Below are 27930 nucleotides of genomic sequence, written 5' to 3' on the forward strand. Positions count from 1 at the left end.
GACTGAATCCTGAAATTTCATTTAGTTTACAAATAGTATAAAATTATAATTATGTTCTAGCAAATAAAATTAAGATGTATAAAATAATTTTTATCAAAATTTGACAAACTAGAGCAAAAAATATTAATATTTTCCTTGTGACATTGCAGATATCTGAATAAAAAGCATACAAAATATACTTCTATAAAATCAAGTTTGCAATCATCACATTTTCATTGGCTGCCTTGCTAGAGATTTCCCAAGAGATTATTAGACATATTAATTAAAATCTAAAAGTGATTTAAAAATATTTTTTCCTCAACACTTATAGCTCAGTGAAATTAAACATGCTGTGGCTGTTATATTTTTCAGTGGTTTAGGACAGTGAAATAAGACATAGGCTCTAGCTCTAAGAGCTATCAGGGGTCCAATTTCTGGAAACCCTAATGCCTAATGCCTACCCTACAACTGTACTGATTAGGACGGTGGCTCGCCAATTCCACACTGTTTGCGCTAATGAGCCTACAGAAAACTAGGAATTATCAGTTAAAGCTGCTGTTAAGCTGCTCCCATCGCAGTATATCAGCTACATGACTTTTCTTACTATCCTACAATTCAATATAGCATCTCTCAAAATAGTTGACTTCCAGTCAACATAGAATTTTGTGGTGGAGGAAGAAAGGAAAGGAAAAGAGGCCATATATGCCTATAACTGAGTTTAAAATGTCCCCATTCCAAAGTCATAATTTTAAATAGTGTGTTCTATCAAATACCATCCCTTTACACTGTCTACATGGAATTTTCTAGAAATATACCTTAGCAAATACATCCTTGCCTCTCACTTTCTGTGCTTACCAGCTTTCCAAAGCAAAAGGAGTTCAGACTTCTCTAACCACTGAAGTGCAAACCAAAACTATGAGACCGTGAGGCAGTTCTGACCAAACTGAAGAGAACAAGAAGAATAAAAAAGAAAACCTTTTTTTAAATTAAATTTACCCAAATAACTAGGAACAAAGCAGTTTCCCCCTGTTTTAGCAAAGCATTTAACTAACATCCAAAATAATTATTGCTATGTAGAATTAGTGTACATATTTTAGGGAGTACAATAACATTTTCCAGATAAAATGAATTGTAATTACAGATTAGCCTTAGTTTTACAGAGATGTAGTATGAATTTCGGGTTGCAGAAAAACTCATGCAAAGGCAAGGGTTAACACACACATATATACAAGTAAATGAAAATAAATGAAAGAAAATTTTCCAAATTGCCTAGAAGGATTCTTTAATTATTTCTGGGGATCATTACTCAAACTTAAAGTTCCAACTCACATTCTCCTTTTTCCTCTGAAATGGTTCTTTGATTGTATCCGGATAAATACATCTTCCGCCTTCTCTTCCACCTATTCCCATTATTCCTGCCTCCTTCCTCCCCACCTGCATCTCTTTCTCTCCAGTGTTCTATTGTAGAATAATTGAGTGTGGTATGATGGGAAAGAACCTGGATGCTGAAGCCAAACTTCCTATATTTGGATCTGAAACTTGACTCTCTTTTATCAGCTGTTTGAACTCAGGCAAATTACTTAACCTCTCTATGCTCCATTTCTTCATATGTAAAATGGAGAACATAATAGTATTTACACTATAGGATTGATAAAAGGGATGTTAATTCATGTAAAGCACTAAAAACAATGCATAGAACATAGTAAACACATACTATTATTAGAGTCATTTGCTTGCAAGTGTTTGCCATACAAGTTCCTTGAAGGCAGGGACCAGGTTTTCTTTTTCCTTAAAAAAAAAAAAAAAAAATTCTGAATAATCTTGTTCAGTATCCAGAAATATTAGGCCTTAAGTGAATACTGAATGAAGGAATCAAAGTGAATATACTGCTCTGGTTTGAAGTTTTGTCATTTGACAATCTGTGTTAGTTGGTCTGCTCTTTTTTTTTTTTTTTTTTTGGTTTAGTTTTTTCATGGCTTCCACCTAGACTGAGGTCAGCAATCTGTCTGCAGCCGAAACCTGAAGCTAGAACACAACTTTTGAACTGATAGGTCCTTCACCAGAGAAAAAAAGAATAAGACATTCACATCAGCAATATATGTCCTAGTACACAGTATGAATTGCAATATGAAACCCTGTATGTTTTCATGATCTTAGAACTGATTACCTGTGAAAAGCCTGTTACTTTAAAACTTTAAATTTGGAAACTAAATCACTTGTTTCTTAAGGAGAAGATGCTAAAGATTTACAGGGAGAGAGGACCAGCTGCTTTTGACCTCTAGAAATGATCTCTAATAATGCCAGGGCAACGATTCTACAAATAGGTTTAAATTTTAATATAGCTATATTATCAGGCCTAGATATTCTTTGGTGGATGCCTCTGTTGGCAGTTACTCACATTGCCTTTATCAGTGAACGCTGTCATATTTGTGTGTTATAATCACTGCCTTGACAGAATCAGATAAGCACCTATAAAGTCTTTTAAAAGAAATTTACTTCCTCTATCTACAAACTGTCAGCACCTTTGCTTTTAAACACTCTCACTTTGCACAATATAGGTTATTAGTTTGAAGATTTGAATTAATGGGATGTTAAAAAATGTGGGGTTAGAGAACTAGATGCCAGTAACCAAAGTGAAAAAAAAGGAACCATTTTTTCTGTACAAGGGGGAGCTGTCACCGGCTTGTCATAGGAGTTAATAAATGAATATGTTCCTAGAGATTGTCTTCCCATTTAAAATGTTGACCCAGCAAAATTCCTAATTTTATGTATTAATGACAACTGATACCAACAATTAAGGAAGACGATGTTAATTATTTGACCAGCTACTTGGCTTATGTGCTGTATGAACAAAATACCTTTCAGGAACTCCGGATTGACTTTCTGCTTTGTAAACATTAGCTCCTGTTTACTTGTTAGCCTTTAAGACATAAACATTGCTGTACCACACTATATAAAGAAGCTTCCCACTTAGGAAACCCAAGGTAATATCATCTAGCATTTTGGCATTCTCACGAAGAATTAGTGCCTAGGGGAGGCAAAACAGAACATTAGTGAGGATTAATAGAATTTTTGAGTAGGCCTTCTTTTTTCTCTTCTCTCTGTCTCAGTTTTTATGTATTAACCTTCAAATTATTTTAGGATGCTTTTTTTCGGTGCTGAATTATTAAAAGTGGTATATTTTTCAATATCTAGCTAGTAGATTGTTTATGATGGTTTTACATTTTTTCCCATAAGGCACATCTTATTTAAATTTCTACATTTTAATATTTTTGTGGTTCAAGTTGCAAGCAGATAACAGATGATAGAACTCTAATTTTGTATTTTCAATAGGCACATTGATTTAGTAGCTTTGCTAACCACATCAGAGGGCTCTGAAACCATTCTCAAACATTTCTTGGAGTTGATAAGAGATAAATTAAGAAACATAAAGATTTCTGTCGCTCACAAACTATATGATGTTTTGTGAGTCACTTAGTCTCTGCGCTTCCATGTCTGCATCTAAAAATCTATGAGCTTGAACCAAATGATTTTGCCAGTTGTTTCCACATTGGAGTCATGTTAAACACTGTTGATGGACAGGAAATTTAAGGTCCTAGCTCTTGTGGTTTGACTGGAAGTCCAAAATTGAAATAGAAAGAAAGATGGGCTTGGGAATGAAGCACTTGGTAAGACGTAAGAATTTGCATAAAGGGCATCAAGTATAAAATAAATCCTGTAAACCACAGTCTCCAATGGAGTTTTATCTCCAGCAATATGTCTATTTTTAAAACTGCAATCTGTAGCCTCAAGCACTCCAATTCACTAAGAATGCACACAAAGCGGCCATAAAATGGATTGAATAAACACGCTTCCAGAATCTTTCTTTTTTTTTTCTGAGATGGAGTCTTGCTGTGTCACCCAGGTACAGTGGCACGATCTCGACTCACTGCAACCTTCATATTGGCCAGGCTGATCTCAAACTCCTGATCTCGTTATCTGCCTGCCTCGGCCTCCCAAAGTGCTGGGATTATAGACGTGAGCCGCTGCACCTGGCCTCTGGAATCATTTTAAGGATTAGGTAGGATGAAATAATTGTCAGAACCTGTACTTTTATTACAATAAAAAATATTTATTTTTTGCTTGTTAATATGATCAGATTCTGAAGGTACTTTCTTTGGTTGCAAATTGCTTAGAAAACCAGCAATCTTACAAAATAATAATTAAGAAAATCTATCTAAATATGTCATTGATTACCCTTAGTTAACAGTTCTATCAGTTTCATCACTATTTTCTCTAACACTAATAATCTTAGTGAAATCTTTTTTCCTAATTTAGTTCAACCAAGTCACCCAATGCAACTGTCTGATTCCCAAGTCTTTCAGCTAGCTGCAGAACTAAATTTCTTGGTTAAGTCAGAACTATTATACACATAAGTTGTCATAAATAACAATTCGTTGAGAAAGATGTGGGTCATAAACATAAAGAATATAATATCAGAGACAGTTTTGAACATATGTTGCTTCATTTCTGTTCAAATAGTCTGGATAGCCTGTTAAGATGCTCCAACTTCCTGTAATAGAGAGTGAAATGAACATTTTTCTTAAAAATGTGTCCCTCTTGGTTATTTAATGTAGCAGAACAATAGCACAATAAAATACCAGCAGAATATCTGATAATTTTTTATTGAGGAAACAGGGAAGTTAGGATGAAATGTAGTACTCTTCAAGTTAACAGGAAAATACACTTACAGCTTTCAGGCCCACCTAAAGATCCTCTACCATTTATCAGAAAATCTCTTCAATTTTCAAAAGCCCTCTAAAGAACTCCTGGGACTATAAACAAAGGCCATATTGTTTCCTTTGCTGACGCTTGTTAAGTGGCTCATGAATAATACTAAATGCATCCTCTCCATAAATCTCCTTGATGTAGGACTACTGTTATCCAGCCACAAACTTCACTGACATCCATCATAAAGTCGGAGATGGGAGATTTGCAACATGCATCCAAATAACTGCTTCCATTGTCCCATCGATGTGATTCTCTTGAACACTTGAAGTCAGAAGAAAGAGAAATTCTAGCACTTTTATTTATTTTTATTTTTTTAATGGAGTATGTTGAAAACACTTTTAATATTCTTTGGGCTGATCTTTCAGAACAATAATTTAAGGTTATGCATTACTGGAACTTATATTTACAATAACATTTCATACAGAGTAACTGGAAAAAACTGGGTGTTGTGTAGACTTATTTCAGAGATTCTGGGCTTTTAGTTTCTTAACCTTCTTCTTTTTCTTTTTTTGTTAAGAGGAAACCACATATAATGTCTTTAGGTGCCAACATAGGTTGGCAATAGCTTGGACGTGTTCCTTCTAATGAACAATCTATTTTGATGCTCTATTTGTGGCAAAAAGAAGAAATGGATGGCAAATAGGACCTGGTGTAACTCAGTGATGTTTCCTGTAAAGAGAAAAGGGAAGTTTAAGGAGAAATTACACATTTAGAGTCCCTCTGTGATTAGGCAAATTTGGAGGCATTTTCAGTGTCACTTGAAGAAAGCATTACACGTCTTTTTTTCTTTGAAGTATATTTATCACTTAAAACTGTACAATGTCAACAGGGAAAGGATTTATTTAACATCTCACAATGGACTTTCAAAATAAGCAACATAGGACACTTTCATAGGTCAAAGAAGTAAAAGGCCATATAAAATGGTCTTCATTCACTGTCCTGTGATTTAGATCTACTAGGAGAATATTTTAATACCTACAGTAATAATTCAGTTGCATCGTTGTTCTTACCAGGAACTATGGTTAAAGTTAAATTTGCTTTTCAGTTTGTTAATGCTTGCATAGAGAATGTGATTTAACGAATGCCTCAGTCTTAGTACCTCTTTGGAGAGAATATAAATCAAGCTACGGCTATTTATTTAGACAGGTGCATATCAGGCTCTAGTTATAAATATGAATATAAATTTTGTTTAATTCTTCTAGTAGTAGGAAAATATAGCTTGTCTGCTTGTGAATGTACTATAGGCCAACTATAATATTTCGGAGTAAAACAAAGAGGAGTTCAAAATGTAGCATGTTCTTCTTATAGTAACTTAAAATGACAAGGTATTTGCTAGTATAGATAAAAAATATTGGATTAACTGAGGGTTACTTTGTTGCTGGTGTTTTTAGATGTGGAGTTGAGAGGGTTGAGTGGAATTATTTAAGAGGACATTGGAAAATGGGAACACTATTTTTATTACATTTATGTAATTAGACAACTTATGAATGCTAAAATCTAATAGTGTTTATTTGAATAAATGGTTGTGTAGAGGAAAGTTCTTAATTCAACAGAAAATAATCCTCCAGCATTTTTTTCTCATATTGGCCATGGGTACTTTAGTAGTAATTCGAATTACAAAACTTTAGGCTTACATGAATCTATATAAGAAAAATATGCTTTAGAAGATTGAACACTCTTGTGTTCAGTCAAACATCAAATACTTTATAGAATCATAAATAAAAGAAGCATAATTATGCCCTTCAGCCTACTCCCCTTCCCCCAGAAAAATTTTGTTCAGGGGAAATTTTCTAAGCTTATGGTCATAGGCAATGGAGGTCATATTTTGCATCATTGGCCAAGTATGTCAAACTTGACATGCAATGTCAGCTGCATTCCAAAAGAAAAGAATATTCTGTTGATACAGCTGTAGCAGGATATGCTTGTCTTTGTACAGAGGCAATTATTTCTTTATCGAAAATAACCAAACTGGGAGGGATAATCTTCTCCAACAAAGTTGAGGTATATCCAGCATATATTTAAATATTAATAAGACAAAAATGAATTATTTGCTTACTGTATTTTAAACAATATTTTGTACGAATGCATGTACATCCATGAGTATATGTATGTGTGTGTCTATCTTCATTATAACCTCTAGTAAGTTATTTGCCTGGATACGGTAATGATGTCATTAGAGCTCTATGATAGGACAGTGTTAATTTTCCACTACTAGTAGATGATAATTGACACAGAAAGTTTTCCTTGCCCTACAGCAGGAGATTGCAATTTTTTTTCTGTCAATGTCCAGATAGTAAATAGTAGGCTTTGAGGCTTTGAGGGCCTGTTGAAACTCTAACTCTGTTGTTGCAGCACAAAGGCAGTGACAGACAGTACATAAAAGAATGAACAGGACTCTGTTCCAATAAAACTTTACTTATGGACACTATAACTTAAATTTCATAAAACCTCCACATGTCACAGAATATTATTCTTCTTTCAATTTTTTTCAGTCACTTGAAAATGTAAAACTATTCTTAGCTTATGGGACTTACAAAACAGGTGGATTTGGCCAGTGGGTCATAGTTTGCCAAACTCTGTCTTAAAATAATGTTTGAACAGATATTTATTCCATAATTTGGCTCATCAGGTATATTCATTTTGGTGTACTATTCTGTTTCTCTTAAAGAATCAGATGAGGACATGTCTGGAAATGTGTACACATATTATATAATTTCACATATATCTCTTCATTTTTTTTTTGAAAGGTCAATAATAAGATTAGCTCAGCTTTCCTTTTTAGTCTTATTGAGGCAGATTAGTTTACTGAGATACTGATTTGTGTTTTCTCTCAGTGCAGTGGGTACTCCCCTGCCCATATCCCTTCATCTAAAGAAGACAGCCAACATTTCAACATTGTAGCTTATTTTGACACAAAATTATTGATATCATCAGGCAACATTTTTCCTAATGAGATATTTGTGTTTGATTGTCTGGTAAAAGGGGACTCTAGGGTTAGAAAGAGTAGAAATGGACTCATCAGATTGATCTCAAGGAAGATGCTGAGGAATTTCCAAACTTGGAGCAGATCAGGCAAGGAAAATTTGTCAGGACATTCAGGCACTTTGACCAAGGATTGCTAGAGGCTGGAAGTGGCACTCTGACCTTCACCCTCTGTAGTCTGGTAGTTACTCAGGTAAACCACTGCAGGTTGTCTGAGTTAGCCCAGACAAGAGTGCTCAAATCTGGGTAGCAGAAAGAGCAATGTTGTGATGGTCACCACTGTGTACTTGAGCCCAGGATCCCCTCACTGGTTCTTGAGAGCACCAAGATGAGCCCCATTTTATAATTCTGGCAAGATTCTAAAAAGGAAGTAAGTTCCTTTCAAGTATAGTCATTACTTAATTTTCTTCCATCCATGCACTGGAGAATATTTAACTGATTTAGAGAATGAAAAGTTATATTTGTTTGATTCAAATTGCATAGACAATTTTATAACAGCTACTAAGGGTTTACATGATATAATTATTATATGTTAAATAGATAAATATGTACTGTATTTAGAGGTTTTTTTTTGTAATAGTTACTTTTTTTTTTCTTCAGAAGAGTTGGTTTGTCAAAGTGGTTAAGAGTATGGGGTTGGAAGATGGATATATCTATTCCTTACCATTTCTGTGGCCTTAGGAAAGTTACTCAGCTTCATTAAGCCTCAGTTTTCTCCAGTGGAAAATGAATATAGGTTTACTTCCTCATAGAGTTTTATGAATATTTAATCAGATAGTGAAGTTTAAAAGTTTAGTACAGTAGTAACATAAAATAATACTCAGTAAATGTAAGTATTATGAATACAAATGTTATTACTTTTTTATTATTTAGCACTGCATTTGAAAAATAGTTAATGAGCATAATTAAACACAGTATTATATTTGACCACCATTCTCCACACCATCTTCGTTTGCAGATAAACCCACTTATAATAATAATAACCATTTTTTACTGATTAATTCTTGTATCCTAAATTATATAACTATATTTTATTGATTTATTAATTTTATACAATATATGTTGACTTCATATTAAAATAATAATTTAGTTCATTTAAACCACTCTTCCACCTCACCTCTTCTCTTCCTGATTTTGATGTAGATATGCATAAAACTACTGTTCTTTTTTCTATTTGTTACTTTTGTAACCTTAAGTACTTCTGTTACATTTTATTTCTTGTTCAATCAATTTTAGACACTGTCTCTTACTCTTCACTTTGTGAACTCTTACAAAGAGTTCCTCATCTGTTCTATAGCTGTCATTTAATCTTTTGTTCTGTTTTTATTGTTTTACCTATCAGTCTAGACCCTCAAAAGTACAAAATATTTGATTCTTTCTCCCCACCCTTACATATTTCAGGAACATGAGCTTCATTTGTGGTTTAAAAAGGCAATTGACTCAAGATGAATTTCTGATCCTATATCCGTAGAACAAAGGATGTACAAATAATTATACACACTCACACATACATATAAGAGACAAATATATAAAAGTAAAATCTGTTGTGTCTTAAAAAGAGCATCATGCAATTAAAGACTTTTTTAAAGAATTTGAAATTTTTATTTATTTTACAACATTATTAATAATAATTGCTTATGGTGGATGCTCTGAATTTAATTTTACTTTTTGTTTACCAGAACTTTTACAGTACAGCTTCTCAGTCTTGAGTTTTAATTTTTATTCATCTATTTATTGTCTGGAATGGCATCTCTGAGTTCTCTTAGGAAAAATAGATGTGTGTATCTTAAAATCTAGCATACTTAAATCTAACAAATTTCTGTTTTAAATAAGAAAACTAACTTACTGTTTTAAATAAGACAAATTGAAATATACTGACAAATATATGGATAGATACATAAAATTCCCAACCCCTTTTAACTAAAGGCATGGTAGACACTACTTTACTGTCTTGTGGCACTTACTGTTTAAGTATATTTATATTGAAGAATAATGTAAGTACAGAAAAATACACAAATTATGAGCATATAACTAGATAAGTTTTCACAAACATTTTGTATTTTACTATTTAAAAATGGAATTATACAGTACTTATTCTTTTGTGTTTGTTTTCTTTTAACTTAATAGCCTATTTTTGAGATTATTCCATGCTGTTATGGTAGCTGTAGTTCATTTATTCTTGTTACTGTGTGACATTCCATTGTACGAATGAAATGTATTATCATTTATGTAACCATTTTATTGTTAATGAACATGAGCTGTTTACAGTTACACACAATGCTACTTTGAACATTCTTGAACACCTTTGGTGCCCATATGCAAATATTTCTGTTGTATAATACACTAAAGAGTACAATTTCTGTGTCATAGGATATATGTGTGTTCAGCTCTAATAAATGCTGCCTAGACATTTTACCAATTTATATTCCCATTAGCAGTGTATAGGAGTTGCAGTTCTTCCACATTTGATCCATACTTGCTATTGACAGTCTTTTTAATTTTAACTATTTAGGTAGGTATGTGGTGGCATCTCACTGATTTTTGTGTAAAGTGAGCTTTATATTTTTATTTTTCTATTAGAGCAATCTTTCTTTTTTTCTACCCAGACATTCTTTCTTTCTTAAGAATATTCTAATCTGAAGAATATAGATCTTTTCTCTGTTTTTAAGTTTTACTTCTTGCTTGTTTTTTCTCCTTCTTTTCCTCTTCTTCCTCCTTCTTGTTACTTAGAAAGTGGGTATACACTTATTCTTTTACGTAAAACGTATACTTAGAAGAATCTTTCTCAATCTATAAATGTTCATCAGAATCCCTTGTGAAAAAATTTGAAAATGTAGTTATCAAGGTACCATTCCATTCTCAGTAAGTCAGAATTTTCAGGGATTTGCAGTCAGGTATGTGTACATTTTTTTTAAGTTACACACTTGATTATACATCATTGTTTTTAAACTTACTTATTACCTTTAATATGTAGGGTGAAGTATTTGTGTAGCTCAGAAAAGTTTTCTTTTATTACATCATAAATTATTTTGCTTGTTTCCATATTTTTTTTCACTCTGGAATACCAATAATTTTAAGGTTGGTCTTCCATTCTCTGCAAAATTCATGTCTTCTTCCTCAGTGTTCTAATTTCTGTACTTTTTCTTTGTTTTAGTGATGTTAGTGTACTAAATTCTCTACCTTTTAACATGAAAATGATGATCCAAATAGGATTATTTTCTTGTTATGAAAAGATAGTTAAAAATTCCCAATACATAATCAATATCAAATTATACCTGAGATTTGTTATGTCACTGTAGCTGCCACATAATAATCCTATATTTGGATGAGACTCTATGAATGAAACCTGTAGTATCTGAAACTTTTTTTACATGAATGGTTAAAGGTGCTGTGATGATGTCTTATTTCTTAACTTGAGCTAATGTGTACAGCAGTAACTGGGGAGACTTAAGGGCGGGACTTCCAAGGGGTTAAACTTTATAGAGAGTTTTGAAGCCCCTTTAGAAGGAATTCATCCTGTGGGAAGAAAGGGATCAAGCACACAATGGATTAGTGATTCCCTGACACAGAAGGCAGTGAAAAAATGAAGCTATTTAGTTTATAACATCTTTCTTTATTGACAATCCCAAATAGTTTCTTCATTTGTTTTCTTCTGTTCCAAAATGCACACCATTCACCACTAAGGCATATGAGCCAGAACTATAACAAATGGAGGTTGTAACTGAAAAGTCAAGATTTTGAGAGCAAAAATCTCAAAACTGAAAGGATTCAGAACAGTGAAGTTCAAAAGGTGGAGAGTGATACATACCACTTTGGAATGTAACACATCAGTGTTTTAGAACAAGGAAGGTTACAGAATATATAATGTGGCCTTGCCAAATGCATGACTTATTAGCAGCTTCTATGCATGTAGGAAGCAGTGCTTAAGGCTCCCAGTGGTGACAATCAGTGCCCATACTATAGCTATTTTAGCTTTTGCAGAAACAGAACTCTTGGCAATACATATTAGCAGTATTGAAGTAGACCTTGGTGAGCACCACCAACTTCTGGAGCAGCTTTGTTACCTTCAGCATCCTTGGCAACAGATTATGAAACAGCATTCAAGTTTAAGCAAGAATGGATCACAAAGCCAGCTGGCACCTAGCAGATACCCCTTGGAGAACTCCACAAATAAGTCAATAGAGATTTTTAGGGGAGCTGAGAAATTCATTAAAAGATAGAACGCAAAGTCAGAGCTATAGATTACAGAGCTGTAAACATTTATTAAATGTAAAAAATTAAATGTTAAATGTGTATCATTTTTTAATTTAATAAATTAAATTATCATTTACATTTTTATTATTAAAATTTTATTAGTATAATCTATATATTTGTAACCCCTGGCTGGTAGAGCCTCAAGAAACACAAATCATACTTTGTAAAGACCCCATTTCTTTGTATTTAGAATTGAGCTTACCTAATGTAAGCAGAAGATGTCATATTTGTAACACTTCTATTTTAAGTTTTTTTCACTATTTTAAAAATGTATCTGTACTCCATTTGGGGGTCTCTCTACTTCTGTGGACTAGGTCAATCTGCATACATATGAAGTTGTGTGTGACAACTGCAGTAGATTCAAGTTTCATAACCACACAGACCATTGGCTATTTCATTAACATGGTTCAAATGTTTAAGATTAGATGATGCAGAACATTGACCAAAGACTGTTCCCTATTTCATATGACGCCATTACGTCAAAAATATCACATAAATCCAGATTGAGTTTTTATTTCATCATGAAACACAGCAAACTTTCAGAAATAAAGTAATGGTTTACTATAAGTGAAAACTTACTAGCTGTGGCTGATACACAGAACTATTTAACCACTGACTTTTTTAATGTAAAAGAATTTTTGTGTATTGTATTTTTTATATGTGGTGGTTTAAAATGGAGTAAGGACATTAAAGATGAAATAAAGCACAAACATGAAATTCATGAGGCTTTCTAGGAAAATAGTCATCAATAATTAACATGTCAATTTTCCAGAAATAAACACAGCGCTAACCACATCTTATGAAAACAACCAAAAATTTCCACAGTTCAGACTTCAGAGCATAATTCTGTATATGCCAGAGAAAGACAGGTAAATGCTCCAGGAAACCTGGGGACTGGTGGTCCATCAAGGTTTTTTCTGGTTTTGATGAAAATTAGTGTGATATGATGCACAGATGAAAGAGCAAATGGGTTTTCTTGATGAAAGCAGTGAATTCTGAAATTATGCACAGCAGGTACAGATGGGGAAGATACTGCACAGATTTCAAAAGATATCTCACATAGTTTTAATGCTGAAACATTTACTTTATCCTTTCACTTCATAGCCTCATTGTGGGTGAGCATATTTGTCTAAATAAGGAGATCTTCTTTTATAGGGAAGGGTAAATGATAAAAAGACAATCATAAATCATTTTATGATTTATGAATCTTCTTTTATTGATTCATTAAACAAATATTTATTGAGTCCCTACTATGTGCTGGGCACTGTGTCACAGAAGATTCTGGTGTTTTTTACTTGACTGAAATATAATTGTGTAATCAGTCATTTATAGGCAATATTGTGAAGCAAGCAAATTTTCTATAGATCTTGCTGTGCCCTCTTGAGATTCTGCCTCTTCCGTTTCCAGACTTATCATTCATTGATTCTTCCTGCTAGCATGTTGCTCTCTATCACAGTTTTTTTTAAGTATCAGCTTATAAAGGCTTAAGTGGTCTGAATTCAGTGCTAATGTAAAGCAAGGAGAGAAGTGTAGTTTGAACATGTGTGCTTGTGTGTGTGTGTCTAGAAAGGCATTTTAAAGGGAGAATTATACTTGGAGGCCTGCAAATCACACTCTATTGACACCATCTTATTACCTCCAAAATCAAAACTGTGGACTGAAATTCTTAGGGGCAAAAATCTCTTATAGTTCTTTGAACTCTTCATGGATGATTTTAAAGAAATGTTTTCTACCATGGGTTAGAAATGTTATTCATTCATTCACTCAGTGTTTGAGTACTGGCTCTATGTTGTTCTAGGGATTTGGGGTACAGGAATGAACAAACTAGCCAAAAAAAAAAAAAATCCCTGCCCTCCTGGAGCATACATTTTAGTGACTGTAAGGTAACAATAAGAATAAACATCATAAACAACTAAATTCTACAATCTGTAAGAATAGGTGATAACTTACAAGAGAAAAAAAAAATAGAGCAGCCCAGCAAAAGGGAATTTGGAAGTGTTGAAAAGTAGGGAAATTTAATTTTAAGTAGGATGGCCAGGGCAGACCTCATTGAAAAGGTGACATTTGAGCAAATACTTGAGGGAGGTGAAGATAACTAGTTGCTTGACTATTTGGGAAAGAAGAGTATTCTCAGCAGAGGCAAAGTCTGTGCAATGTGACTGTTTGGCATGCTCCAGTAAGAGCAAAGAGGCTGATAGAACTGGAGCACAGTAAGCAAGGGAAAAGAAGTAGGTGATAGGTCAGAGGGACCATGTTTTGTGAGACCTTGTAAGACTTTGTAAAAATTTCGGCTTTACTTCAATTAAAATGGAGAGTCATTTCTGGGCTTTGAGCAAAGGAAGGTCGTGATCTGATATGGCTGCTGTGTGGTGTGTGGAGATGGCAGGAGTGAAAGCAAAGAGACCTGTGTGAAGACAAATTCAGTAACAGAAGAGAATGTCGTTTCTTTGTTTTGTTCACTTTAAATGAATAATTCTAATTCTCTCAAAAGAATCTTTCATCTCAACTAGGCTCCACAGGCAGAAAATTTTTACTTATTTGTAAATAATTGTACTGGCATAAACTTGATAAATCTCGGTCTTGAAGACAGTGTAGCTTCCATCTCAGGAGAAAGGATGAACAAGGAAGGGCAATTCAGGTTGTAAACACTGCCTGCATTGGACTCTGTTCGAGTTCTCACCTTAGAAACACTGCAAAATGTCCTCACTCATAGGTGGGAATTGAACAGTGAGAACACTTGGACACAGGAAGGGGAACATCACACACCGGGGCCTGTCATAGGGTGGAGGGAGGGGGGAGGGATAGCATTAGGAGATATATCTAATGCTAAATGACGAGTTAATGGGTGCAGCACACCAACATGGCACATGTATACATATGTAACAAACTTGCACGTTGTGCACATGTACCCTAGAACTTAAAGTATAATAAAAAAAAAAAAAGAAAAGAAACACTGCAGAATCTGCAACAACACAGTAATGATAAATCCTGGGACCCAAACCAAACCAATTAAATCAGAATCTTGTGATTGATGCTTAGCTGCTAGTACATTTTAGAAGCTCAGTGAGTGATTCTAATGTGTAGTGATGGATGCAAGTCAACAGGCTACCCTTTTTCTTTTAAATTTATTTTAGGTTCAGGGGTACATGTGAGGATTTTTGTTGCAGAGGTAATAAACTCATGTCACAGGGATTTGTTGTACAGATTATTTCATCACTCAAGTATTAAACCCAGTACCCAATAGTTATCTTTTCTGCTCCTCTCCCTCCTCCCACTCTCCACCCTTCAATACATGCCAGTGTCTGTTGTTTCCTTCTCGGTGTTCGTAAGTTCTCATCATTTAGCTCCCACCTATAATGAGAATGTATGGTATTTGGTTTTCTGTTCCTGCATTAGTTTGCTAAGGATAATAGTCTCCAGTTCTATCCATGCTCTCACAAAAGACATAATCTCATTCTTTTTAATGGCTGCATAGTATTTCATGGACTATATGTACCATATTTTCTTTATCTGATCTGTCATTGATGGGCATTTAGGTTGATTACATGTTTTTGCTATTGTGAATAATGCTGCAATAAATGCTCATGTGTATGTTTCTTTGTGGTAGAATAATTTACATTCCTCTGGGTATATACCCAGTAATGGGATTGCTGGGTTGAATGGTAGTTCTGCTTTTAGCTCTTTGAGGAATTGCCATACTGCTTTCCACAATGGTTGAACTAATTTACACTCCCACCAACAGTGTATAGGTAGTGTTCCCTTTTCTCTGTAACCTCTCCACATCTGTTATATTTTGACTTTTTTTTTTTTTTTTTTGAGGCTGAGTCCTGCTCTACTGCCCAGGCTGGAGTGCGGTGGCATGATCTCCATTTACTCCAACATGCACCTCCCAGGTTCAAGCAATTCTACTGCCTCATCCTCTCGAGTAGCTGGGATTACAGGTGCCCACCACCAGGCCTGGCTAATTTTTGTATTTTCAGTAGAGACAGAGTTTCACCATATTGGCCAGGCTGGTCTCAAACTCCTGACCTCAAGTGATCCACCCCCCTGGGTCTCCCAAAGTGCTGGTATTACAGCCATGAGCCACTGGGCCTGGCCATTTTTTTCTTTTTAATAGCCATTCTGACTAGTATAAGATGGTATCTCATTGTGGTTTTGACTTGCATGTCTCTAATGATCAATGATATTGAGCTTTTCTTCATATGCTTGTTGTTTGCATATATTTATTTAAAGTTTTATTTATTTGTTTGCATATATTTGTTTAAAGTTTCTGTTCATGCCCTTTGCACACTATTTAACAGGGTTGTTTGTTTTCCTTTTATAAATTTGTTTAAGTTTGTTACAGATGTTGGATATTAGACCTTTGACAGATTCATAGTTTGCAAATATTTTCTTTCATTTTGTAGATTATCTGTTTACTCTGTTGATAATTCTTTCTCTCTTTCTTTCATCTTTCTTTTTTTGGAATCTTGCTCTGTTGCCCAGGCTGGAGTGCAATGGTGCAATCTCAGCTCACTGTAACCTCTGCCTCCCGGGTTCAAGTGATTCTCCTGCCTCAGCCTCCCAAGCAGCTGGGATTGCAGGCATGTGCCACCACACCTGGCTAATTTTTGTATTTTTAGAAGAGACGGGGTTTCACCATGTTGGCCAGGCTGGTCTTAAACTCCTGACCTCAGATGATCCACCTACCTCAGCCTCCCAAGATAGCTTCTTTTGCTGTGCAGAAACTCAAGTTTAATTAGATCTCATTTGTCAATTTTTGCCACTGTTGTGATTGCTTTTGGTATCTTTGTCATGAAATCTTTGCCCATTCCAGTGTCTGGTATGGTATGGCCTAGGTTGTCTTCCAGGGCTTTTATAGATTTGGGTATTATATTTAAGTATTTAATCTATTTTGAGTTGATTTTTGTATATTGCATAAGGAAGGGGTTCAGCTTCAATCTTCTGCATATGGCTAGCACTTATCACAGCATCATTTATTGAATAGGGAGTCTTTTCCCCATTGCTTGTTTTTGTCAGCTTTGTCAAAGATTAGGTGGTCATAGGTGTGTGACCTTATTTCTGGGCACTGTATTCTGTTCCATTTGTTTATGTGCCTATTTTTGTACAAGTACCATGCTGTTTTGGGTACTGTAACCCTATAGTTTGAAGTCAGGTCACATGACGCCTCTAGCTTTGTTCTTTTTGCTTAGGGTTGCCTTGGCTATTCAGGCTCTTTTTTGATTCCATAGAATTTTAAAATAGCTTTTTTTCTAGTTCTGTGAAAAATGTGATTGTAGTTTGATAACAGTAACATTGAATTTGTAAATTGCTTTGCAAGGTATGGTCATTTTAATGATATTGATTCTTCCTATCCAAGAGCATGGGATGTTTTTCCATTTGTTTATGTCTTTGATTTTTTTGAGCAGTGTTTTGTAATTCTACTTGTAGAGCTATTTTACCTCCATTGGTTAGCTGTATTCCTAGGTATTTTATTCTTTTTGTGGCAATTGTGAATGAGTGTTTGTTCCTGATTTGGCTCTTGGCTTGGCTGTTGTTGGTGTTTAGAAATGCTAGCGATTTTTGTACTTTGATTTTGTATCCTGAAACTTTGCTAAAGTTGTTTATCAGCTGAAGGAGCTTTTGAGCAAGGCTGGGTTTTCTAGATACAGAATCATGTCTTCTGCAAACACAGATAGTTTGACTTCTTCTCTTCCTATTTGGATGCCCTTTATTTCTTTCTCTTGCCTAATTGCTCTGGCTAAGGCTTCCAATACTTTGTTGAATAGGAGTGGTGAGAGAGGGCATCCTTGTCTTGTGCTGGTTTTTTAGGGAAAAGCAGCTATTCCCCATTCAGTATAATGTTGGCTGTGGGTTTATCATAGACAGCTCTTATTATTTTGAGGTATTTTCCTTCAATACCTAGTTTATTGAGAGTTTTTAACGTGCAGTGGTGTTGAATTTTAAGGAAAGTATTTTCTGCATCTATTGAGATAATCACGTGGTTTTTATCTTTAGCTCTGTTTATGTAATAAATCACATTTATTGATTTGCATATTTTGAACCAACCTTGCATCCCAGGGATGAAGTCTACTTGATCATGGTGGATTAGCTTTTTGATGTGCTCCTGGATTGGGTTCACAAAAGAATTTTGTTGAAGATTTTTGCATCCATGTTCATCAAGGATATTGGCCTGAAGAGTGTGTGTGTGTGTGTGTGTGTGTGTGTGTGTGTGTGTGTGTGTGTTTGTGTCTGTGTGTGTGCATGTGCCAGATTTGGGTATCAGGATAATGCTGGCCTCATAGAATGAGTTGGGGAGGTGTCCCTCCTCCTCAATTTTTTGGAATAGTTTTAGTAGGAATGGTACCACTTTTCTTTGTACATCTAGCAGCATTCAGCTGTGAATACATCAGATCCTGGGCTTTTTCGATTGGCATGCTATTCGTTACTGATTCAGTTTTGGTGCTTGTTATTGGTCTGTTTGGGGAATCAATTTCTTCCTAGTTCAGGGTCGGGAGGATGAATGTGTCAAAAAAGTATCCATCTCTTCTAGGTTTTCTAGTTTGTGTGCATAGAAGTGTTCATAGTAATTTCTGTTGGTTATTTTTATTTCTGTGGGGTCAGTGGTAACATTTCCTCCATCATTTCTAATTATGTCTATTTGGATCTTCTCTCTTTTCTTCTTTATTAGTCTACAAGCTACATTTTTGAAGCTCTAGGAATCTGTTTTCTACATATGATTTCCAGGACTACCCAAGACATTTCCATTTATTTATTAACCAAATGGGAAGACTAAGAGAACAGTATGACCATGGCTAATGTATTTTAAATAAATGGCAGAAGTTGCACACTTCACTTCTTTGTATAGTCACTGATGAGAAATAAACTTTTTGTCCATAACTAGTAACAGAGGGACTGGGAAATAAGCTGAGCAGGATATCAATGTGGAGACTATGTGTTTTATGGGAAGGGAAGGGCAAACAGAGGTGTTTGCCATATTTTCTCAATATTGGAAAGGGGAAGATAAATTTGGAGATGACTTGGTAATAGACCAGTTTTGTTTTTTATTTTTTGGTCAGGGCAAAACTATAATTCAGCCACTTATAGTTGAATACTGAAGTCTGAAAAAGCTTAGAAGTGGAAGAACTTGAATTATGAAAGGTTTTACTTTCTCATGTGCCCTGCGTCAAAGTCACATTTGAAGGGAACTGAGTTTGCTGTGAACATAAGGATAACATCATAAGATTTGCCTCAATTGTTTGTTTCCATAGCGTCTCTCCTGACACTGACACAGAAAACCTGGAGTATGAGACAGAATAAGGAAGGCACCTGTATTAGTCTGTTCTCACGCTGCTGATAAAAACATACCCAAGACTGGGAAATTTACAAAAGAAAGAAATTTAATGGACTTGCAGTTCCACGTGGCTGGGGAGGCCCCACAATCATGGTGAAAGGCAAGGAGGAGCAAGTCACGTCTTACATGGATGGCAGCAGGCAAAAAGAGAGAGAGAGTTTGTGCAGGAAAACTCCCATTTTTAAAACCATCAGATCTCATAAGACTCATTCACTACCATGAAAACAGCACAGGAAAGACTTGCCCCATAATTCAATTACTTCCCACCAGGTTCCTTCCACAACATGGGGAACCCAAGGTGATATTTGGGTGGCTTCACAAGCTATTGTCCCATTATAGTGATAACTTGGCTTCTGAAGTGATAACTTGGCTTCTTAACTACATAGCCCAGTCAGCTGCCATTTTTCTGGACTAGAGAACCACCATTGTAGACGTTCTGAAATGTTGTGAGTTGAAAATAGAGCATCAGGGTCTGAATCTGCTCTCTGGATTGTCTATTACAAACAGTAATTGTTATTCAAGAGGGCTGGAAATTTCATGCATGATCATTGGGTGACCTGGAAATCAGTGGTATCAAGAGAATTGGATGCTGGCACAGGGAAATGCCATGCTGAATGAATAATGGCATGCTCTAAGTTTGTCCTGCACATATCAAGCACAAAGTAACACTCTGTAGAAATGAGTGAAGGAGGAGAGAAAGAGAAAAATAAATTTTCATCTTAAGATAGTTAACTGGAGACGCCACCATATGAAAAAGCCCACTCATATCAGCTCAGGCTTATTATATAGTTAAGAGCAAACAAATCCCAAAATCCAAAATTCACAGCTGCTTCTTTTGAACCTATCGTTATAACAATTATTCTCTTAATCAGAGAGATTAATTAACTTTTACAGGGTCACAAAGATTCATATCCAAGTCTGGCAACTTCATCAGATTTTGGCTTTTAATCTTGCCTGATTGGTTTTAACTTTTTTTTAAATCTAACTTTCCACAGGTTTCTAAGGTCTCTTTCCACCAGACAGTAAGTTATTTGACTGTAAGGACTCTGAGCATTACTGCTCAAAGGTCTTTCCATATAATCTGCTCAAAGAATGTTTATTAAATAACTGCATGCAAATGAAAGACATAAAGAAGTTCCATTCATTTACATACTAACCAGAATATATACTTTTTTAAAACTCTCACTGTTTTACAGACTAGCATATCAAATTGTGGGAACTTATAAGAACTATTTCCCCCAGGGGTGGTCAGGTTATCTCTCTTGGGTTCTTTGCTTAAGCAAGTATTTTCCCATTGATTCAGAACCCTCTAAAAGTGACATATCTTCAGCTGGGTGAAAAATTGGCTTGATTAGAACTAAAGGGGTGCAATTCTCTTAATGTAACCATGGGTAACATCTGCTATCATTTATTTTTCTTATTAAATTGTAACAGGTGAGCCAGGCTGGCAGCTTGGTGATAGTATTACTGCAAACAGGCAGGGCATTTCCCAGTCTAAATGCCAAACTACATACAGTGTAAAAGTTAAGTTAGGCTTTAGGATATTTAATGGATATTATGGTAGCCTATGACACCAATCATCTCAAGTAAGAGTGATACATAGCTGTGGTGTTTTGGAATATTTTCTGAAATTCAAGTAATAGACTTTTATGGGAAGCTGTTCTAGTCTCAAATGGAATAAGAGTATATTAAAAGGGAAGAGTAGATAATGAGGGGAGAAGAAGGGCTTTGTCTATTCTTTTTTCACTGATATAGCTTTAACAGCATAGTGCTTAGAACACAATAGGTGCCCAATAAATATCTATTGTCTTAATATCCAAATCATATGTGGATCCCTTCTGTTTCCATGGAAGGGTCTCAGAAGGTGAAGGTAGAAATGGGCAGCAAGGTTATCGGCAGTTTAGCTTGGGACCTGGAATTTAATCAGGCCCAGGGCATACCATCTATCTGAAATTAATGTCCTCTTTTAACACATACCCTCTTCTAATCCCAGTGACACCTATCCATCCTTATAGGTCCCACATTTCTTCTGGTGCCCTGCCTAATTTCTTCAACAGAATGAAACTTTGTTCTTTCTTAGTTCCTTCAGGAGTTATGCTCTGTGGGGAACATAGCATTTAGCACCTTTTATTCTTGGCTTCATTTTCTTTTAGCCTCATTTCTCCAGCTTGATGCAATGTCCATACTCATTAAACTTGTTTCTTCATTTGGGGGCAGGAGAATATATGTAACAGAATAATGAAAATACCAGGGGTTTTAAAACTCAATAATATTGTTCTAATAAAAAAAAGACAGACTAATCTATCATGTAAAAGAAATTTCTCAGAGAAAAGAGACTATAGTTTCAAGAAGAAAATGTTGGAAAAGAAAACATTATCTTATATCCGATATTCAGTGTTCTGACGGAGAAAACCAGTGAGGGGAAGATAAGAAGAAAGAGGGAGAAACCTGAAGAGGAAACAGAAGGAAAGGGGAGGGGGAGAAGGTAAAACTACTGTGGTATTTTTGGAATAAGGAGGGAAGCTGCTCTAATAACACATAAATTTTGTAAAATTTTCTTATTTTAAGTAGTAGAGCAAAGAGGCTTGTGAATTTTATTAAGACAGTTGATATGTTTTTAAAGGAGAAACAATATCATCTTGTAACAGCAGAGCATTTCAATAATTTTATCTTCTAGTCTCTTTGAAAGTGAAAAGGAAATCACCTTTTACTCACAAATCTAGCTGGATAGCATGTTTATTTTAAAATAACCTTTGGCATTCTGTTTATATCAAAATTCATTTGCAAATTTGGAGCAATACAATATGATTTCTTGAAGATACAAAGATAAAACGTTAAATGACGCTTACCAAGTCCCAGTGCTTCTGGATTAGGCGAGGCCTTTCTCATTGACATGCTTACTCTACATTTAACACCTTTTGTTGCTACATAACAGGATGAGGGAGTATTCAATCAGAAAGTTATTAGTCATATTTAGATGTATTTGAATGTAAAATTATTAGTTAACAGCCATATATGTAAAGCCAGTTTTCTATAGCAAAGCTTTCATCTAATTTCAGAGATAAAGTACTTTGTACAAAAAACCAAACAACTCGGGTTCTCACTCATAAGTAGGAGTTGAACAATGAGAACACATGGACACAGGGAGGGGAACATCACACAGCAGGGCCTGTAGGGGAGGTAGGGGGAAAGGGGAGGGAGAGTGTTAGGACAAATACCTAATGCATGTGGGGCTTAAAACCTAGATGACAGATGGACAGGTGCAGCAAACCACTATGGCATATATATACCTATGTAACAATGTAACAAACTAGTACGTTTAGCACCTGTATCCCAGAACTTAAAGTAAAATTAGAAAAAAAAAACTGGAGAGAAAAAAAGAAATAAAATACTGCATTAAAAAAAAATAGGGCATCTGAGAAGCGTGTCCATTAGAATAGTTTTAGTTTCTTAGTGATGTTATGCTGAACCCCTGACAAAAGTGTTAATATTTGATGCCAATATTTTTCCCACTGACAAACTAAATATACCTATTCTGTAATAATATTAAACTAGATCTTGTATTTGGCTATTTAAAAAAGTATAACAAATATATCAAGCTTTGCATATATCTGGGCTAGTGATTTGTAAGTATTTTCATTTGTGCATCCTTTCCATTATAAACATTTAAGTATACATTACCAAAATATCTATTTTTAAAAAATTAAAAACATATATTTTATATGTAATATACCATATATTTATGAAGCACAAACTAACAGAATTGACTTGAACAGTTGCTAAGTTGCATATATTCTGCCTTGGAAACCACTGATCTGAAGAGTATGTCATAGTCCTAAAAGTAAATATATGTAAGCAACAAAAGATACAGCTCAGTAACTATAGTGAAAAAAAAGGGGGTGGGTTTCTCAGCAATATCAATGAAGAAAACACTAAATACTTTAATGAGGAATTAAAGTAAATGGCAGAAACAGCTCCAGATGAATGGAAATATAACAGTGGTGTAATCATTAACGTTTCATGAGACCGAGAAGTAGTATCAAGATTTCTTGTAATGCCTCATTAAAATGATAACCTATTGATATGGTGGTGTCTGTTTACCCCATACATCTGATTATATGGGGTGTATGAACATATGTGTTCATGTATGTTTGCATAATTGTAGAGTAAATAAAAGGCCATTATATAATGAATTTTTAAAGTTCACCTAAGGTGAAATTTTAATTCAAAAAGAGTGGCCAAATTCTCATAGCAAAGAATGATTCTTTTCCAATACGATGAGAAGCACAATGAGTTAAGGCCTGCCAGTTTCATTTTGCCTTTGTGAATTTCTAGTGCTTTATGCTGTATCACCACACCATAATTTAAGTACAGCCTTAGCTGAGAATTTCCTCATTTATTTTTCAAAAGTAATGCTGTAAAAACACTTTCAGGAACGTTATAAATCACATATTACTATACTAAGATACTTAACTAAATCCAGAGGCATTCTTGTTTTTCAAGTAAATATGAATTCTTTCTTGTTTCAGTATGTACCCAGAATTAGTACAATAAATTATTTTTGCATTTTGTCACTAAAAACACACACACACACACTCTCTCTCTGTCACACACACACACACACACAAATATTTCCATATGAGTATTGTATTAGAAATTGATTATAACTAATTACTTAGGCACTTTAAAAGGAGATTTTTTTTTAAAAAAAGGAATGTCATATGAATTTGTTTCAAGCCATTAAAGTTCACACTGTCAATACAGTGCCAAGTGGGAAATTGAGGCCCAACAGCAGATGTAAGTGACTATTTGGATATCTCACATTTAATTATCTTCAGGGGTAGCACATTATTGCTCCTGAGAAGAGAGTTCTGAAGCAGGTCAATCCCCAGCAGGCACCTGGGCATTATGGGGGTACCCGAGTGTCACTCCATCACTGAAAAATGTCCTAGGAATATCTGAACACCAGGGGAGAGAGATTTTTTAATGTGACTTAAAAAATATTCCTCTTCTTAAGCTTCCTGATCCTCCTATATCATCATCCCAATGACATGACCAGTTGTCATTTTACTTTCTGTCTACGTAACCTCATGCACAGCTAGGAAATAATGATTTAGGTCTTGAAATTCAAAACATAATGGTGTTCCTTTTTTTTCATTTCTCATTTTACTCAACATCCCTGCAGAGTTGATGCAAGTACTGAGCTGCCTTTGAAGTCAGCTTGCATCATCTTTGATGGAGTATAAAGCAATAGGAGATACTGACTGCAGTTTTGAGCATCTCAATTCTCATCTTAGATGATGCCGATACATTTGTCATTAAATACGTGGCATGAGTAAATTCTTGGGAAAATTGCCAAGCAGTTAAAATTGGCAGGTATAGTGTACATATTTCCACCATAAAAGAATAGAAAAGAAAAATATTAACCTGTTTTGAAAGCAATTTAGCCCATGTTTCACTTAGGCTATTCTTATTTGTGAGTAATTTTGTAGCGTATTCTTGTTACATGGGCTCCTTTTTCCTAATACTTTGGATGCTTTGTGAAAGGTTACATTAAACAGATATATATGGTTTCTAAAAACATTTGACACCTTGAAGAATGATATTCTTTGTTTATATAACAGCAATATAAATTAGTGTGTTTGTTCGTTTTCTGTTGCCATAACAGAATATCACAGACTGAATAGTTTAAAAATCACAGGTTCATTTTTCTGGTGGCTGGGAAGTCTTAGATCATGCTGCAGGCCTCTGGCAAGGAGTATCCCACCGTGGAAAACATCACATGATGAGTGAGCAAGCAAGAAAGAAAATGGTGGACAAAATCTTTTTATTAAGAACCCACTCCAGCAACAATAGCACTAATTAATGTATGAGGGTGGAGTCCACATGACCTAATCACCTTTTAAAGGGCCCACCCCTTAGTACCACTAAAATGGCAATTAAATTTCAACATGAGCTTTGGCAGGGACATTCACACCATAGCAATCAGTATGTGTGGATGAACTCCAGTAGAGTTGGCTTTTTAATATATTTTGCTCTTAACAATAATGATATGGCCCCTAGTAAATAGGAGCATGATTGGAGGTGAAAGAATAAATGAAACTAATTTGATTGTAAAATTCTGTCTTCATTCATTGATAGGCATTACTGCTGATTACCAATCTCTTGACCTTATCTTCTGTGAGGTCCATGGGAAAACTGCACTTTTCTGCCACATTGATGTTGGGTTTTAACCATGTGGCAAGTTTGGGCCAATGAAATTTGAGCATAAGGGCTATGTGAAGCCTTTAATTACGTGAACTCTCTTCTTGTTCTTCTTCTGCAGAGGTGACCATGGAAGCATGTGTGTTGAAAGAGGAAAGCAAGCTGGAATGCAGCGTGAACACATGGAGTACAGCTGCTATAAAGAGTGACTGAGGAGACTGCAGTAGACTTGCCTGATTGAAAATTTAACTTTTTTTGTGTTAAATCATTGAGATTTTAGGGTTGCTTATTACCACGGCACAACCTAGCCTATCATGACTGGTGTGTGTATGTGTATATATATATATGTGTGTGTGTGTGTATAATGTGTATGTGTGTGTATATATAATATAGGAGCTTTTAAAGGAAAATAAATTTAGTAATTAAAATAGGACAAAATGAAAGATACCAAATATCTGTTTGTGCAATATCACACGACATTTTTGTGATTTGCATTGATCTCAGTAGAATATATCATAGAATATGTAGAATATATAATACTCAGTAGATTATATATATATGATATATATATGATGTATATATATCATAATACATCACTTACTCAGCTCTGCAGTAAGTATCTCTAAGCCTTCTCTAAATGCTCACATTCTGCTGTTATTAGGATAATCACATTAATTTCTATTGCCTTATACCCCTCTAAAATTAGTCTTCAATATCACATTTTTATAACTATTTAGAATAAATGTTAATGGTTGGGGAAAGGAATGTCAAAGGAGAGATGTTCTTTTGAGATAAGCACTTTAAAAATCACAGAAGTTTATTGGCTTCATTTTTCATAGGAGTTTTAAAGAACATAGTTCATTTTAGAGAATGTCTAGTTGCTCTGGATGGCTGTATCATAAGGTCACAAGGAGAGGAGAATTGTGACAAAAAATGTACATGGATAATTCTTTCCTGTGTTGCCTTACATCTATATATCACAACAAGAGATTACAGTCCATTAAGTTCTACAACATTTTCATTAAAAATACAATCTGAATCCTAAGAGGAAAATACTAGCTACCAGAAACATAAGATTCTCAGAGAGCTTAGTGTGCTGCATGTTAAGTTGCAGACAGACATGCTAGTTTTCTTTGAATCAGTATCTTAAATCTATCCCCTTATTTTTCCATCTAATTTTCAGCAGGTCACTCTCAAGTCAAAATTTAATTTTATGTGGTTGAAGTTGTGGAGCCAAAATGAAATTGCATGCTGTAGGGGGAAAAAATTTAACCTACTTTTAATAGCCCCTTTGAAAGATACTTTGAAGACATGACTTACTCTCGTAGTATGTTGACTATCTGAAGAATGAATTATTATATCCTTGTCAAATTTTAAATATCACGCTGTTAAAAATATTAGTCACACAGGGGGCTGCTTGACAGTAATGTCACAGAAAAGCTCTGGTCTATATGAACAGGCAGAGTCTGAAACTTAATACCATGGTTCCATGGAGCTCTGTCTTCCATGGGCAACTGCTGAGGGGTGGGGATGGGGGTGGGAAACTGCTTCAAGTTTCCTTGGAACATTGGCAGGACTCTGCCAACTGCATTCTACTTACTGTTCCAGCCAGCTGAGGGAGACTTGTGTCTTTCTCCGGCCGTCCTCTCCCAGCAGAGCTTTAGAGGAGAGTCTAAAAGAAATAAAAAAGCTATCATTTCAAGTGAGGAAGATTTAAAAAAAAAATACATCCAAGAAATGTGAGTTGAGATCTAGACTAGAGGTTGTAAAGAAAATGATCCAAAGAATTTCTTTTAAAAGGCAGGGCATTTTTTTTTTTAAGCCTGAAAAATAAGATTAGAAACTGGCTTGGATGAGCCCAACTGTGATTAAAAAAATAAACCTTTTATAGTTAAGTCAAGATTTTTTTTCCTCTTTTTGTTCTTTGACTTTTCCTTGCAGGGAAAGGGGCAATCTTTACCTAATCAGAGCGAAGCAAGAATCACTGAGGCAGCGGAAGCATCCTGTAGGTGAAGGTCAGGCCAATTTTCACCCAAGTAATGCTGTTTTATCAGTCATCGAACAAAGATTGGGGCCTTCCTTTTCTTGATCCTTTTGTGCTTTCCCCTATTACTTTAACAGATCTGAACAAACCAGGGATTCTTCATCCAAAAGTTCCATTTAGCTGCATTTATTTCGAATCCTCCAAATTTCACATCTCAATGTTACAGCAACTTAAGAATGATACAAAACCTACATGTTTTTAGGCAGGAAGACAAAGTTAACTAAAAACAGAATTAACACAGGACACAGTGGTTGTTTTCATGGGAACTTGGCCATTTATTTAGTGCTGAATCTCATGTCAGCCCTATTAATCCTGACACTTTTTAGTTTCAAGGGTTTCTATTTTCTGTATGTCTACAAAACAT

The 27930-nt window shown here is 35.0% G+C and overlaps 2 long non-coding RNA genes across 2 annotated transcripts in view; both read right to left on the minus strand.

The window, feature by feature from the left end:
- Positions 1-1449, minus strand: part of LOC124909495 (uncharacterized) — a 43498-nt gene extending 42049 nt beyond the window's left edge. Inside the window, exon 1 of the long non-coding RNA XR_007096279.1 lies at positions 1309-1449. This is a non-coding gene — a long non-coding RNA (uncharacterized LOC124909495). The remainder of the gene's footprint in view (positions 1-1308) is intronic.
- A 3911-nt stretch (positions 1450-5360) lies between these two features.
- Positions 5361-27768, minus strand: LOC102724145 (uncharacterized). The gene is made up of 3 exons (XR_427423.3): positions 27483-27768; positions 27123-27194; positions 5361-5418 (listed from the first exon to the last, which is right to left on the minus strand). It is a non-coding gene; the product is annotated as an uncharacterized LOC102724145 (long non-coding RNA).
- Positions 27769-27930: the final 162 nt, after the last annotated feature.

Source organism: Homo sapiens, chromosome 3, assembly GCF_000001405.40.
Source record: "Homo sapiens chromosome 3, GRCh38.p14 Primary Assembly".
Lineage (NCBI taxonomy): Eukaryota > Metazoa > Chordata > Mammalia > Primates > Hominidae > Homo > Homo sapiens.